Source organism: Homo sapiens, chromosome 10 (genome assembly GCF_000001405.40).
Source record: "Homo sapiens chromosome 10, GRCh38.p14 Primary Assembly".
NCBI classification, from domain to species: Eukaryota; Metazoa; Chordata; class Mammalia; order Primates; family Hominidae; genus Homo; species Homo sapiens.
In genome coordinates, this window is record NC_000010.11 from 94109482 (window position 1) to 94126042 (window position 16561).

Below are 16561 nucleotides of genomic sequence, written 5' to 3' on the forward strand. Positions count from 1 at the left end.
CCTATAGTTCCAGCTACTTGGGAGGCTGAGGCAGGAGAATCGCTTGAACCTGGGAGGCAGAGGTTGCAGTGAGCCAAGATTGTGCCACTGTACTCCAGCCTGGGTGACAGAGCGAGACTCTGTCTCAAAGGAGAAAATATGGCCAAAAAATAAAATTAAATACAATAAAGCTAAACTTCCTTAATAAATGGAAAATGGCATTAGGCTTATAAGAAAGGTATTCTACATAAAATATTTTGCCTCTGCAACCAGCAAATTCTACCATATTAAAGACATAGCAGTTTTGTCTCTCTGTGCCAAAAATCACAAGAACTTTTATTCTTGTTCTCATGATCCACTGCAATGTTCTCTATTCAGAAAGCTCTGGGATGTTTTTTTTTTTTTTCCTGGCTCCTTTGATGTTCCTCAGACAAAGACTCTTGAAGTTGCAGATTTGTTGTATGTTTTTAGACCAGTGCAGAGATGGGGTTCAGAGGAACATTTCACATGGGCTTTGATGTTAGAATCCTTTGGCAAATCACGTTTGCCTTTCAAATTGATATCAGGAGGATAGACCCTTTCCTTTTTTTCTTTTTTCTTTTTTTTTTTTTTTTTTTTTTGAGATGGAGTCTCGCTCTGTCACCCAGGCTGGAGTGCAGTGGTGCGATCTCTGCTCACTGCAAGGTCCACCTCCTGGGTTCATGCCATTCTCCTGCCTCAGCCTCCCGACTAGCTGGGACTACAGGCACCTGCCACCACGCCCAGCTAATTTTTTGTATTTTTAGTAGAGACGAGGTTTCACCGTGTTAGCCAGGATGGTCTCGATCTCCTGACCTCGTGATCCGCCTGCCTCGGCCTCCCAAAGTGCTGGGATTACAGCTGTGAGCCACCGTGCCTGGCCAAGGATAGACCTTTTCTAAGGGTTGTCAAGGAAATAACCTCATGTGCAGAAAAAGTTTTATGCACAAATATGTGTATCACAACAGCTTTACAATAGTGAAAACCCAGAAACAAATTAATAGTAATAAGAGAATGGTTACTTACACTGTTGTGAAATCATGAGGAGGAATCTCACATAGAATTGAAAGTGAGGTCTAAAGAACTTTATAGTAATATGGAGAAAAACTTGGTTAATACATTATGTAGAAAAGCAGATTATAAATGTTGTGTAATATGACATCACAACTATGGAAAACTACACAGTGGTAGTGGTATCACAGGTGATCTTTTGCTTTTCTTTATTTTCCAGTTTTTCTGTAATAAGCAAGAATTTTGAAAATTGGAATGGGAAAAGGGTGTTTTACTGAAAACAGAAGCATCATCCTTCTCTGTTGGTAATTTTCAGCTTGATTTGGTTTGTAGTGCTGCAGAAAGTGCTTTTGATTTCTCTAGAACAGTGTTTCTCAACCTCAGCTAGTTGTGGGAGCAGCCCTGTGCACTGGACAATGTTTAGCAGCATCATTGGCCTCAACGCACAAGATGCCTGTAGCATGCCCTCAGTTGTGACAAACAAAAATGTCTCCACACATTGCCAAATGTCCCTGGTGTGGGTGGTCGTGATAAAATAACGTCTGGTTGAGAACTGCTGTTCTAGAATCATGCACTGATACATCCCAAATACCCACTCCCTGGGAGACTCAGCAAGAGGTGGCAGTGGGTATTCAGTTGTACACAGCAATGGAGTATGTAGAAATCTAGAAATTCGTTCACTCACTCATGAGACATTTATTTTCCAGAAAGGTGTTTGGCATCAGAAAAATGTGGCAATAGGAAGCAGGGTTCCTTCCAGCTGCAGGGTGGGATTCAGTGGGAGGAATTCAGCCCCTTGCGGGCAGAGGTGGAGTGAAGAAAGGGCCTGGCAAGCAACGAGGCTCACTAGGACTGAGACACCAGCAGTTTTGGTCACAAAAGGAGGTGGAAGCCAAATTCCCAGCCTGAGATGGGAATGAAAGCAGAAATGCAGTTGACTAGACATTGTGGAGCCTGCACCAGAGAACTAAAGCTCCTTAAATTCCTCCTGACAGGGAACAGGATTGTCCTCAGAGCCTAGGGCAGCCCTCAGCTTGCTGGTGGAAGGAATGGGGACTTGGATAAGGAGTTGGAAGAGTGGGTGGCTAGAGAGCCCCTGCAAGGCACTGCCCACTCAGTAGTGATACTTACTGTGAAGGGCCGTGGGTCTAGACTGAGGCATTTACACTTGGTTCTGGAAGAAGGAAAGAAGCCAAACCAGTTTTCCTATAGGAAAGATCTCTAGAAGTGGATCAAAGAATGTACACTTTTTGAATTTCGATGGGTAGTACTCAGTTGCCTTTCTAAATGCCAGTATAATGATCAATGGATTGGATATTATTTTGGCATTTTATAGTGCTTGAATAATAAGTTTATTATTTTAAATGTTTGTAGTGCCGCCGAAGGTTTATAAAGGTTTATGGCTGTCGCAGTTTTGCTTTCATGACCTGTTGTTGATCGTATCTTTGATTTATGTGAGGCCTAGACAGGAACAGAATCCCTAATCATGAAATTTTTCCTATGGGAAAATACATCTTGCTTTATGACAATCTACTTTATGACGTGCTTTCCAGAAATAATGTGTGGCAAAATGTAGAGGTCATCTATAAAGTTTCTGTTTGTTTTATCTGTTGTGAATTTCCATGATTTTTGTCCCCCTTTGATGGCTAATTTATTTTCCATCCTGTATTAGAGATACATATTTAATAAAATTTAAAATATTCTTTTTTAAAAATGCATGAAGCACAAGGAAGGTGAATGGGTGATTAACAAGATAGTGATTCAGATTGAATATTAAATGTATCTCATTTCATGAAACAAATGCATTCAATTAGGTTGAATGATATGAAATTTTGATTTTTCTAGGTCAAAAACAGTCAAATATCAGCAATTTTATATGGCTCAGTGTAATAGTAATGTTGGCTATAAAGAAAATTTTTGTGAAATGAATATTCTGTTTTTTATTGCTTTCTTAAAAATTTTGAGGTTCATTTCCCTGAAGACAGAGTTGAAAACTTTGGCTGTGTATCATGCTGGGCATGGCTGGAATTCAACAAATTATTCTTGCTTTGAATGATTGTTTCCATTGGAACAAGAGTTCCCAACGAACCCTGGCTGCTCATAGAATCACTGGGGAAACTTTAAAAGATATAATCCATGGCTCCACACAGATAAATCAGTACATTGGATATGGTATGCAGTGGGGCAGGGCTCAGGCCTCAGTATTTTTTTGTTCCCCACGTGACTCTAAGGTGCAGCCAGTTTGAGAACCACTGCACTAGAATTTCATTTTAAGGAGTCTCAATGGAGCTTTTGTATACCTTAGAAAAACACAATGCCTTTGTTCCTCACCTACTTCTCTATCTTGCTTTGGACCAATAAGGTCTAAAGATGAAATGTGAAAAAAATATATTTAACTCGATCAACCCCCTGCTTTGGTTTTCATTCAACAGAACATTTATTGGGTACCTACTATGTGCCTGGTCCTAGGGCTGGGGACTTTGATGAAACAGATGAATGCTGAGTTAAAGAAGAATTATGCCTCTTAAAGAAGCCAGGGATTATATGAAATGTCCCAAACAGGCAAATCTGTAGCGATGGAAGGTAGATTAGTGGTGGTTGCTTAGGGCTAGTGAGGATGGGAAAGTAGGGAGTGACTTTAAATGGGTATGAGACTTAACTTGGAGGTGAAAAAAGGACCTAAAATTGATTGTGGTGTAACTATATTAAAAACTATTGACTTGTGTACTTTAAATGAATGAATTGTATGGAATGTGAATTATATCTCAATAAAGCTGCTGTTAAAAAAAAAAAAAAAGCCAAGGGTTCCTTTTGGCATGAGGACTTCACACTGAATAAGTAAATTAGGAACAGCAGAGAAGAAACTCAGTACTATACACCCATTCCTTTCAAAACTAATAGACAATAAAATGGGGACAATAACTGAGGGCAAAATAAAGTAAATCCTGGTTGGAGATGTTTAGTTACCACCTGTATTCCAAATAGCACCTGAGTGTTCAGAGGGTGGATGGGCTGGGAGCCGTAGGTGAGAAAAAGACAAGAACCTTCATAGAATGTACTGTATGCCAGGCACTATGCTAAGTGCTCTTTGTATGTATTCATTCATTCAATTATCACACAGTTATCTCCATTTTACTATTTTGAAATGGAAGCACAGAGAAGTAACTGCCCTAAGGTCATATAGCTAGTTAAGCAGTGACATTAAGACTGCCTTAAAGAGTGGAAGTATTCTAATAGCAATGTGACGATGCGGGAATGGGAGTGGCAGTGGGCAGGGAAGCTTGGGCTTGTTGAGGGGATGGATAGCTGTCACAATGTGTTCAACTAGGGTAATAATGGAGGAGGGGGTAGAAGGGTGGACAGTGAGGGGTTACTGAGGAACTCCCTTGACCATGCTAAGGAAACAAAATGCAGCAGATGGGCATCGTTGAAGATAATTGAATCAAAACAAGGCTTAAGAAGGCCAAGTTCAGTTTTCTAAATGCACAGATACATGCATGTCTCAATGAGTGTCTCTCTGGGTCTGTTCCCTGGGTCTTACTATGACCTGGGCTCTGGGGAGAAATTACTAAAAGAGAAGTCACAATGACCTAGGGAAATTGAAAAGCCTCCATAGGACCTGCCTTAGAACCTTACATTCTTTGAATGGTTGCAAAGTCGCAGCCGAAGGTGACTAGCCCAGAATGCTCAGAACATTTGGCATCAAACCTGGACTAGAAGGTAAACCTCTAGAGGGGAAGGAAAAGTCTATTGTCCCCTGACCTCCTCACTTCCCCCAAAGTGGAGCAAATTGGGCTCCCCAGCTTTTCTTTTCCTTCTCAGTGAGACAGATGAGTATAGACAGTAATTGTGCAGGGGCAGAGGAGGAGGGAGGGACATTGGAGACTGTGTCCACCCAGGATCTCAGGCTAACAGTCTGATCTCTAAGCCAAATGCTGCACTTCAGAGCCAGCAACTTTTCATCCACACGAATACATTCCCCTTGACCTTTCCACGTTTGCTTTGTGCTCTCAGGGCTCAGTTCATTCATGAAGATTTTTCCAAGATCTGCTCTGTTCTAACTTCCTTTTATGCTTGGATTTTTATACCAAGCCTCATAGCACCTCCCATGTAGGTAGCATTTCCTACTATTATAATCTCCACATTACCCCCAAATAATCGAGAGTTCACAGTATAGCTGTTCTTTTCTTATTTTGTTGTGCCCTAGACCTCATGATAGGTTAATCCTCTTATGCCCTATGTTTTTTTTTGTTGTTGTTCTTGCACAGTTCTTTTTTTTTTTTAATACTTTAAGTTCTAGGGTACATGTGCACACATGTGCACAACGTGCAGATTTGTTACATATGTATACATGTGCCATGTTGGTGTGCTGCACCCATTAACTCATCATTTACATTAGGTGTATCTCCTAATGCTATCCCTCCCCCCTTCCCCCATCCCACAACAGGCCCCGGTGTGTGATGTCCCCCTTCCTGTGTCCAAGTGTTCTCATTGTTCAATTCCCACCTATAAGTGAGAACATGCGATGTTTGGTTTTTTGTCCTTGAGATAGTTTGTTCAGAATGATGGTTTCCAGCTTCATCCATGTCCCTACAAAGGACATGAACTCATCATTTTTTATGGCTGCATAGTATTCCATGGTGTATATATGCCACATTTTCTTAATCCAGTCTATCATTGTTGGACATTTGGGTTGGTTCCAGGTCTTTGCTATTGTGAATAGTGCGGCAATAAACATACGTGTGCATGTGTCTTTATAGCAGCATGATTTATAATCCTTTGGGTATATACCCAGTAATGGGATGGCTGGGTCAAATGGTATTTCTAGTTCTAGATCCCTGAGGAATTGCCACACTGTCTTCCACAATGGTTGAACCAGTTTACAGTCCCACCAACAGTTAAAAGTGTTCCTATTTCTCCACATCCTCTCCAGCACCTGTTGTTTCCTGACTTTTTAATGATGGCCATTCTAACTGGTGTGAGATTGTATCTCATTGTGGTTTTGATTTGCATTTCTCTGATGGCCAGTGATGATCAGCATTTTTTCATGTGTCTGTTGGCTGCATAAATGTCTTCTTCTGAGAAGTGTCTGTTCATATCCTTCGCCCACTTGTTGATGAGGTTGTTTTTTTCTTGTAAATTTGTTTGTGTTCATTGTAAGTTCTGGATATTAGCCCTTTGTCAGATGAGTAGATTGTAAAAATTTTCTCCCATTCTACAGGTTGCCTGTTCACTCTGATGGTAGTTTCTTTTGCTGGTTCTTGCACAATTCTAGGCGCCAGTAGCCATTCATTCCCCATTGAAGTCAGCCTGTTCCCAGTGACTGTGGCTTCCTCTTGACTCCTGGAGCACCAGCTGCCTGAACCTCTCTCTTCTCACTTATTGTTTCCTGCCTCGTGTTAACTTTCCCTCTTACCTGCCTGCCTTCCAGCCATCCTTGGTCATGCAAGAGACACTCAATGCAACAGGGATGAGTCACTGATTAATCAGCAAGCACTTTATAGGGCCATGATGCAGGCGATAACTGTTCTGATGACAGACACTGGGGAGAACAGCGGGCATCTCCAGGGCTTGCTCATCTCTGACATGCTGTCCCTGATCCTTCCTCCTGCTCCTTCCTCTCTCCATCCTTTTCTTCAAAATTCTATCTTTCTGTCTTTCGGTGATTCTGTCGTCATCACCTTCCTCCCCTGCCACAAATACCCCTGAGTTTCTTAACTACTCACAATTTAGATCTCATTTATCCTTTTATTTGCTATATCTATAGAACTTGGCTTTTCTTGTTTTCTGTGTCTTGTGTCTGAATATAATAATGATGTTTAACATTCTGTGTGTGACCTCTGACTGATTTTGGAAATGGGAAAAGGATCCATGGCATTGGTAGGAAAAGGTTGCCAAGTCTGCCTTAAGAATTTTTAGGAATGGCAGGGCATGGTGGCTCATGCCTGTAATCCCAACACTTTGGGAGGCTGAGGCAGGCAGATCACCTGAGATTAGGAGTTCAAGACCAGCTTGGCCAACATGGTGAAACCCCATCTCTACTAAAAATACAAAAACTAGCTGGGCGTGGTGGCAGGTGCCTGTAGTCCCAGCTACTCAGGAGGCTGAGGCAGGAGAATTGCTTGAACCTGGGAGGCAGAAGTTGCAATAAGCTAAAATCGCACCACTGCACTCCAGTCTGGGCGAAAGAGTGAGACTCTGTCTCAAAAAAAAAAATTTTTTTTAAGAATATTTGCAGGGTAAAACATAAAAAAGCTGATGATGAAACCTGTTGGATGAACTGATGAAACCCCAAATTTACCCAGCCAGTAATGGCCATGCCCTTCACCTTCTAAAAGAAGTGCATTTGCTTCTCCCTGGCCTCATGTTGAAGAATTGGAAAGGAGCAATTTGGAGAGAGTGCAATAAAAGAAAAGACAAAGAGTTTCTGCTATTATCCCTGCATCTCTGACTTCCCACAGTCTGTTTTTCAGCTGTTCCCTGTCCACTCCCAGGACCTCTGCCTCCTGTCTTATAGTGTATCATGGTCTCTACTGGATAACAGATAAGCAAGGTTGAGTCATCTGATATGGTCATCCCTGGATGTGGACTTTCTCCTCCAATCATGAGCACAACATATAGAGCTCCCATCCTCTCTCCTTCACTCTCATCAAGTGAATGGCTCAGCAAGGTTGGGACTCTTGTGGTGAGACCAGAAGATCTTGAGAAGAGTGTGAGGAATGAGCTTCCCAGTGAATAAAAGGTGACCCGACTTTTGGGCCATGAGTGACAGAACCCTCCAGCTGAATGTGCATTTGCTCCTGAAAAGGAACCCCATCCAAAGTAGCTACAGAAGTGATTTAAACAGAGATGTGGCCCCAGCAAGTCCTTTTCTTCCAGCTCAGCATCACATTGACTGTCTTCTTTGACTCCTACCAGCTCTGCTGGGAGTGAGACTCAGTGACCCTTCCCTTCCCTATAGCCTACCCAGCCCACAGATTCATGCCAAACACTCGTTGCACTGACTTCATTTGTGCCGTCTTTGACATTACTGGTAATGTCCATTATATGCAGATGCCAAAGACCAGCTAACATCAGTTCAAGGAATATTTCAGGAGTTCCACCTGTATACAATACAATATACCATGAATCACTAGATCATGGTGGGTATAAAAGAGAGAAAATCCTTGGAACACCCATAAGCAGTTGATCCCAGTGGGTTGGTTAGGCTGTAGTTAGTATATACACTGCTGTTGACACTGCCTTTAATTATGTGTAGTCACACCTGCATTGTGTCCTTTATGAGCTCTTAGAAAATAATGAATGCACCCAATTGTTTAGAGCTCCCACAAAGTGAAGGACAACATTATTTCAAATTATTGCAAGAAGCCCAGGGTATCTGGAGACAGGGAAAGCTCTTAAGTCTACTTTTTATACAATAGAGCTTCATACCATTATTCTGTATATAATCTTTTCACCAAAACACTGTCGCCTGATTGTTTCAACAAAAGACCTCTTTGTTTTGATAGCCAAGAAAAACCTTAAGCTCAGTAGAGACATGAGAGCAAGCTTTTTAAATTACAAAATGTAAGTGCTAAAACCATATTTTTGGAATGTAAATTGGAAGGTTTTTTAAAAAAAGTTTTGTTAACTTTAAAAGAAGTTACAATTTTTTTAAACTTAAGTTTTTAACCTAAGTTTTTATAAGTTTTAAAATTTTCATTAACTTTAGCATTTTTTTTCTCTTTTCTTTTTTAATGATTTCCATGGAGTTCTTTGACATGCAGCTCAGGGTGACCATATCTTTCTTATCTGACTATAGGGTAGGCCCAGGTAAGCTGAAAGGTGATAACTTTCCCATACTCCTGAGCCCTCTGAAGGTCAAATATATTGTGTTCAACACTCAACCTCTCAGGATAATCCTAGCCCTGAACATAGGCTGATACAGTTTGGCTCTGTGTCCCCACCCAAATCTCACCTTATAGCTCCCATAATTCCCATGTGTTGTGGGAGGGACCCAGTGGGGGATGATTGAATCATGGGGGCAGGTCTTTTTCTTGTGCTGTTCTCATGATAGTGAATGGGTCTCATAAGATCTGATGGTTTTAAAAATGGGAGTTTCTCTGCACAAGCTCTCTCTTTGCCGCTGCCATCCATATAAGATGTGACTTGCTCCTCCTTGCCTTCCACCATGATTGTGAGGCCTCCCCAGTCATGTGGAACTATAAGTCCAATAAACCTCTTTCTTTCGCAAATTGCCCAATCTTGGGTATGTCTTTATCAGCACCGTGAAAACGGACTAATACGTATGCTCTTCTACACACACATAGCTGAGAGTCTCTGTAACAGGACAGAGGTAGTCTATCTGGGGATAGATTGAAAGTCCCTGACTCATCCTCATGAACTTGAGTGCAGTTTTAATGCCACGACCCGTCCATTTTTTTGTAGTTCCCCAATATTTTGGAACCTCCTTGAAGGCTTACCTTTCCACTGCTATCTTACAAAAGTGGAGAGAAAGGTGACATTTCCTATAAGATGTTCCATCTCTTTTAAGATCTATACCTCCAACTAGACAGGAAAAGTCCTAAGTCCTCGCCCACCCTGTGGGATGCTTCTGAAAGTTGTTACTTACCTTGTGAGTACAAATGAAGTATATCGTCTCTCTCCTGTTCCAGGCTGGTAGGTAATGTGTACTTTGTCCTTTCTCATTGGTTTTTATTAATAAAAGGAAACCACCAAGCTATAGGAAATCTTAGAAGTCATCATCTCTATTCCATTGGTGCCTTAAGAGAAGAGGCTGTGTCTTGTTTGAGGTTATATCTTCAATACTTAAAAAAATACCTCTGGAAGGCAATGGATGTCCTCAGGCATATGAGATATAACCCTCCAGCTGTATGCATGTCCATATAGCTTGCATAGGTAGTTTGCTTAGGAAATGTTTATGAACAGAAATGGTTCTGGCCTAGAATTGCATCCACTTATAAGGACTCAAAAGGTTCCTGTTTATCTCCCCAAACTCACTGCTCAATCTCTTAGCTTCACCCATAGGAAAACTATTTTGCATACACTGTTCCCTTTGCTTAGAACATTTCCCCCTTTCTTACCCTTCCTCAACCTTGCCCTAGCTAACTCTTACTGTCTTTAGGTTGTGTCTTAGATGTTACCTCCTAGAAGAACCTTCCATGGCCTCCTAAGACCCTCCTCTGTGTATCTGAAACACTGTATGCCCACACCAATGTAGAATTTTATGCTGTAATACAATTGCCCATTATCTTGCTTACCTTCCCTGATGCTCAGTAACTTTCTTAAGGACAAGAAGCTCTTTTACTCATTATTTTATCTCTAGCTACTGGCAAACTATTTTGCACAAAATAGACATTCAGTAAATATTTGTTGTCTGAATGAATGAATGAACAAAGTCCAAACAAGGAATATATTCTTAGGCATAGACGGCTTATCTTTCAGAAATTAAAGTGCGGCTACTTTGTGTCTGCATTGAATGTCAGTCCAAGCTTCTCAGAGGATTCCTCTGGATAGGCACCCCAGCGTGGGTCCTAGCTATTGCTTAGGACCTCCCAGGGCCTGCCTTTCTCTGGGTGTAGGGCCCAGGATTTTCCCCACTAGGCTGGGCTTTCCTACTATTCTCTACCCTTACTCAACTCCTCCATCCTGTCTGGGAGACTCAACAATTCCTCTTCCAGGCTCCATGTCCTCCTGCCCTGCCTAAACTTGGTGACAGCTCTAGCTCCTGGGAATCTGGTGATCTCTATTCACCCACCACTACCTATTTCATTTGCTCTGCCTGAGGTGTGTTCACTAACAGGTTGTTGAATATGGCTCTACCCTTGGATGAAACTTGAAGGTCTGTACTGGTTGTCTTAAACAGCTTTCAGTCTTATTGGCAGGCATGAGGCTCTGCAGCTGCTCAATTAATCAGGACCAGAAGCCAACTTATGTTGGGTCCTGTCTCTGAGAGTAAGTCCATGTTAGCTCAACTACTGAGTTCGTGATCCTTGGGGGATTTGGAGAGGAATGTCCCTAGCTCCTCTCTGGTGGTCATTCACTTGGGTCCCATTGGAAGAGAAACCTTTAAGAATTAAATCACTGCAGTTTTCCAGTAGAAGAAATACAGTGCATTTAATAAGGATAAATAACTGTCTGCTAATAATTAGAGGAGGATCTCTGCTTGCAGACCCTACTAATTCACACTCTGTCCTCATTCTCATCCCCTCCCTTTGCCCCTGGAAGTGATGCTCAAAGGATCAAGATCAAAAGGCAGTGGAAAGAAATGAAGGATGCAGGAGAAAGATGGACATTGTGAATAAAGGGAAGAGAGAGAGGGGTGATGGGGAAGGTAGGAAGATCAGGACAGAGCAAGGAACAACAGGATGAGATTCAAAAGAAAGCAACATGGGGAACATGCAAGTGGTGAGGGCTAAGAAATCTTAATAATGAAGAAACCATGGGGACTAAGAGGAAGTTGAAGAAAGCTGCTGGAGCAACCTAGAGAGACAGAAGAGAGCAGAGAAGTGAGTGAAAGGAATAAACCTGGGATGAGAGAGAGGATCTGCACTGTAACTCTGATATTGACCAAGAGGATTGATAACCTCCCTTTTATTAAATGCCACATACATGCCAAGTGCTGTGCTGAGGCTTTGCATTTATTATAGCATAGTGGGCACTAGCCCAGAATGGAATCCAGAGTTGAGCTGTTTATGGAGCTGTGCACCAGAAAACACTTAGATGTCTACACATAAGTTCACATGCAGGAGACTAGGAGAGGGTTGTTCTCTCCACCTCCAGTCTCAGCCCAGGAGGGCAGAGGTTGGCCAGCCACAGAGCCCAGTCCAGGTACTTCAACAAGGGGAGCTGAGTGGAAGAACAGAAGCAAACTATCCCTGAGCATAGGAGGGGCTCCATCACCTTCAGAATGCTACCAAATAGCTAGGAGGGATGAAGGCAGATGGTGATGGCTTTTGGGGGTAGGAAGTTACCTGAGGTCCTCAGGCCAGCAGGCATGGTCTTGGAGCTCTAAAGATTCAGGTATTTATGCTATTATGACCATTTGGGTATTCAGGGCTGGTGAAACTAGAAACAGAACTCACAGATGTCTTATCCCTTTGAATGCTTATTTATAACAACTCTGTTATATCTCCATTAAAGAAACACTAGTTACTTCCCCCATGCTACTGGATGGTGGCACTAAGTACGACATGATCAGTGTGACGCAAAGACCATACTCTTTCCACTCTACCCTAAGGCATCTCATTAGAGATGGCATCTCTGCTGTCCCATCTCTGCTATCCCATTTCTGGTTGTCAGAGCAATATATTCTAGGAGGTCAGCCTCAGCCTCAGGCCATCTTTAGGCAGACAGGAGGTTAAGAGAAGGGAAATGCAGTGCTGGTCCAGAAGCAATGACCAAGGCCCTGGGAGCCATGAAGATAGAGGCCACACTGGACATTTCCAGCTGGGCAGAGAGAGGAAGGTTAGAAACCAGGAAAAGATGAGCAGGAGTTCAGCCAATGAAGGTTTGGGGCACAGGAAGCAAAAAGCCTGGTCTTATAGGTTGGCATTGGTCCCCTCCACCTGTTGGGGACACACAGAAGCCTGGAGCCACAGGATGTCAGGAACTTTCTGTCCCTTTCAGCTTCACACATGCACAGCTTAGCGAGAACATTACCCTTGATCCTCTGAGCCAGGGATCACAGTCTACGGGATTTGTGAAAATTTGGTTTTGTCTTGCAGGGAATTTGTCCCCATGTAATTCATTAATTGACCCATTGCTCCTTAGAGCTGCAAGGAGCCTGGTAGTTCAGGCCATTAAGTCCCTTCTGTAGGCCTAATTCATGGCCTGACATCACAATCCTAAAAACATAATCCATTTGTCCTGATTTGATTTTTTCTTTTCGAGAGGCTCCCTTGGCAGCCAGGTTTTCTCATTATGATATGATTCATCCATATGGTAATTACCATTAGAATTAGTATCTCAGACGTGATTCATCTTTGGAAATATTAAGCTGGAAGCATCACTTACAGAAAGGCCTGTTCCATTTACAGCCATGGGGAATGTCTGCAGAGATGCTCCTTCATCCAGCTAGCATTTGTTGAGTTTTGCCCTGTACTGGATTCTGAACTAGGGGCCTTGAGGCGTATAGAGATGAATAGGCCCTAGACTGTGCCCTCAGTAGCTTCCATTCTAGAAGGGAGATGATAGGGACGTAAGTGCTTGTCAGATGGATGGTACAGTCAGAGATGAAAGGTAACATGTTCTCCTTAAAGTCTAGGATACAGGTTTTCAAACTCTAGCAGGAATCAAAATCACCTGAAGGGCTTGCTAAAACACAGATTATTGGGTCCCAGCCCAGAGTTTTTGATTCAGTAGGCCTGCGATGGAGCCCAAGAATTTGCAGTTCCAACAAACTCCTGGGTGAGGAGGATGATGCTGGTCTGGGGACCACACTTTGAGGACCATAGCTCTAAGTCTTCAATTATTTCTCCACTGTGCCCTTTCTCCATTGCTTGCAGCATGCTAAGCAGTGCCCTGTGCTGGGGACAAAATGTTTATTAAAGCTTGGTCCCTGTTCCAGTGGGGAAATAGTAGGAGAGTAAACAGTGATTTCTGTACTTCACAGAAAGTGCTACTAGAGCTTTGCTTAAGGTGTCATTGGATCACCAAAAAGAACATGATTATTTCTTGCCGGAACCCAGGGAAGGCCACATGGAGGAGGTAAAATTTTAATAAAAGGGATGTGGATTGGAAGAAGTTGTATGGAAGGGCATTTGCAGCTGCGAAATTCCCAAGTTTTCAAATGTCCTGGGGCATCCTCTAACTTCTTCTGAGATGTTCCCCTGAAGTGATAAAGGTTCAGCTTACTTCCCATAGAAGCCTCTGGCACAGTTCTGGTTAATTCGCCTGGTTTTAGCAAAGTCTTTATGTTTGTCTTTCCGGAGTTCTGTTTGGTCAGTGTCTTGCTCGTGCATGGTCTGAATACTCTCAGTAGAATGGAATTCTCTGCACAGGCATTTGAATGGAATGTGGAATCATGAGCAGAGCAAACAGCAGCCTGCTACCAAAATTCTCCTCCCCATCCCTGCCATTTAAGTCTCCAAGCTGCTGCAACTACCCCCTCCAACAGCCTCACTGTTTTTGTTGACTCTTCAGGAAATTCGACAGTTCTTATATCATTGCATTTTGTTTACACACAGACACCCATCAGACATGAAACTTCTAGTATCTTCAACCTTTTAGAACACTGCTTGTAGATTCCAAAGTTAGAAAAGAGGCTCATGAGACTAGTAAAGGGGTTTCCAAACCATAGCGCAGAGCTCTTACACTTCATGCTGTGAGAGGCCCCTGCGTTGTTACCACCTATTAACTCACAGGTGACACCGTTAAAATAAATGTCATTGTTTTTCTAGCTCAGGGCACTTTAAGAACCACATTATGGGGAGGATAAGGGTGCTATTAGAAGCACATATATAGTCACTAATGCGAAATGGCAGCTGATACTGAAGGAGAATAGTAATAAGAGAGAGGGAACAGGAGAAGCTAATGTATTAGAGAATAATGATCATCAAAATAATCATCAAAATTAAGTTTAATTATACCCTCCATCTGCCACTGAAGAAGGGGCTGGGTATGATATAGGGTAAAATCCCAGCACGCTGGGACGCTGAGGCGGGAGGCTTGCTTGAGCTCAGGAGTTTGAGACCAGTGTGGGCAACATAGCAAGACCACATCTCTACAAATAATATAAAATTAGCCCAGCATAGTGGTGGTGCCTGTAGTCCCAGCCACTCAGGAGGCTGAGGTGGGAAGATCACTTGAGCCCAAGAGGTCAAGGCTGCAGTGAGCTATGATTGTGCCACTGCACTCCAGCCTGGGCAACAGAGTGAGACCTTGTCTCAGAGAAAAAAAAAAAAAAAAAGAAAGAAAGAAAGAAAAAGAAAGCAAGGAAGTATGGATTATAGAACAGTAACACTAAAAGGGACCTTGGAGATAATAACTGGCCAGCCTCTTCGTGATAAAGATAAGAAAACTGGGGCAAAGAGTAGGTTATGAGGAAGAGGGTTTCAGTTATTTGCCCAGTATCACACAATTACACAGTACAGACTGTGGGTCTCTCCAGGGCAGAGTCTTTTTTCTTTTTAAAATCATTGTTCTCCAGCATCTACCATAGTCGATGTAACTGCAACTCAATATTTGTTTATTTAAATTGATTTAGCAGAGTCAATACATTAATCCGTATCTTGGTTTCTTTTAAACCCCATGATCCTTTCAAATGATCAATTTCATGAAAAATTAGTAGAGAGAATAGATCAGATTAAGTCCTTTGACTCTAAGCCCATCAGCAAATGATAATGAAATGTTGTTAAACTGTTGGTGGATTTATCAGAAATGGCCAAGTTTGGTTACTAGCAATTAAATCCACATTTGGCTACAGCTATTCTGAATACTTTGTAAAGATTTTATGCCATTTCATATGATTTATATATCTAGTTTTCAGCAAATACAGGTGACAGTAGAATGTCGCCTGTGGTTCAGATGAATCCAATGTAGTCAGGGCCAAAAAACCAGAGGATTCTAGCCAAGTTTTTGGTGAAGACATAGAATTGAGAAATTCACTTATTCAATCAAGAACTGTTCATTGAGAACTTATAATGCCAAACACTGTTCTAGACACTGCAGATACAGCAGTGAAAAAAAGAAAATCTCATGAAGCTGACATTCTAATGGAAGGAACAGACAACAAACAACAAACAAACAAAAAGTGATGGAGGGATTGTGACTACAATTACCCCTCTGTTGAAAGTGCTTCCTCTGACATCTGTAATAGGATTTTCTGTTTGGTTTGGTAGTTAACAGCACTAGCTTAGACATGGAGAGTCTTGATGTTAAGTCCTAGCTGTGTGCACATTAGCGCCTTATTTTTTTTTTTTGAGACAGAGTCTCGCTTTGTTCCCCAGGCTGGAGTGCAGTGGCGCGATCTTGGCTTGCTGCAAGCTCCGCCTCCTGGGTTCATGCCATTCTCCTGCCTCAGCCTCCGGAGTAGCTGGGACTACAGACACCTAGCGCCTTATTTTTAAATGCTGATAATAGTAGAACCTCTTCATAGAGCTGTTCTGCGGTTTAATTGAAATCACATCTCACTACTCAGGGCCTGGTTCATTTTAAGCATTCAACAAATGATGCAATTATTATTATTATTGAGTCAATGGACCTCTAAGTAACACACTTTCTTCCTGTTGAAAGATTTCAGAAGATATGCCATCAGATCTTAGAACCTCATAATTTTTCATAAGTGATCTCAAAAAGATAGCTTCTGAAACAGAGCAAGTACAAAATTGACCCCACTTGACAATACCCTTTTTGACTTTAGTAGAAGTCAAGTCAAGAAAAAGCTCTGGCTATTCCAAGGAGCTTTCCTTCTGGGTGAGTGCTGTGGATGTGGTGTGTCTGGTTGCTTCATGCCTTTTAGTGCATGCAAGTCTTTGCCTTTGTCTCCATCTGAATTACCCCAGCTCTTTTCAGCCTCAGTATGCTTGTTTTCTTTTGTTTTGGGCCTAAACTC

The 16561-nt window shown here is 42.2% G+C and overlaps 1 protein-coding gene and 1 long non-coding RNA gene across 34 annotated transcripts in view; both read left to right on the top strand.

Moving 5' to 3' along the window:
- The window catches only part of LOC107984255 (uncharacterized), an 18453-nt gene extending 2503 nt beyond the window's left edge, over window positions 1-15950 (top strand). Inside the window, exons 1-3 of one of the 2 annotated variants that reach the window (XR_007062252.1) lie at window positions 825-4728; window positions 7470-7750; window positions 11236-15950. This is a non-coding gene — a long non-coding RNA (uncharacterized LOC107984255). Of the gene's footprint in view, window positions 1-824; window positions 4729-7469; window positions 8698-11235 lie in introns of those variants that run through there. The other variant, XR_001747554.3, reaches the window with a different exon arrangement.
- PLCE1 (phospholipase C epsilon 1) overlaps window positions 1-16561 on the top strand; it is a 338893-nt gene that overhangs the window by 115551 nt on the left and 206781 nt on the right. The gene's annotated exons all lie outside the window — the stretch shown is intronic.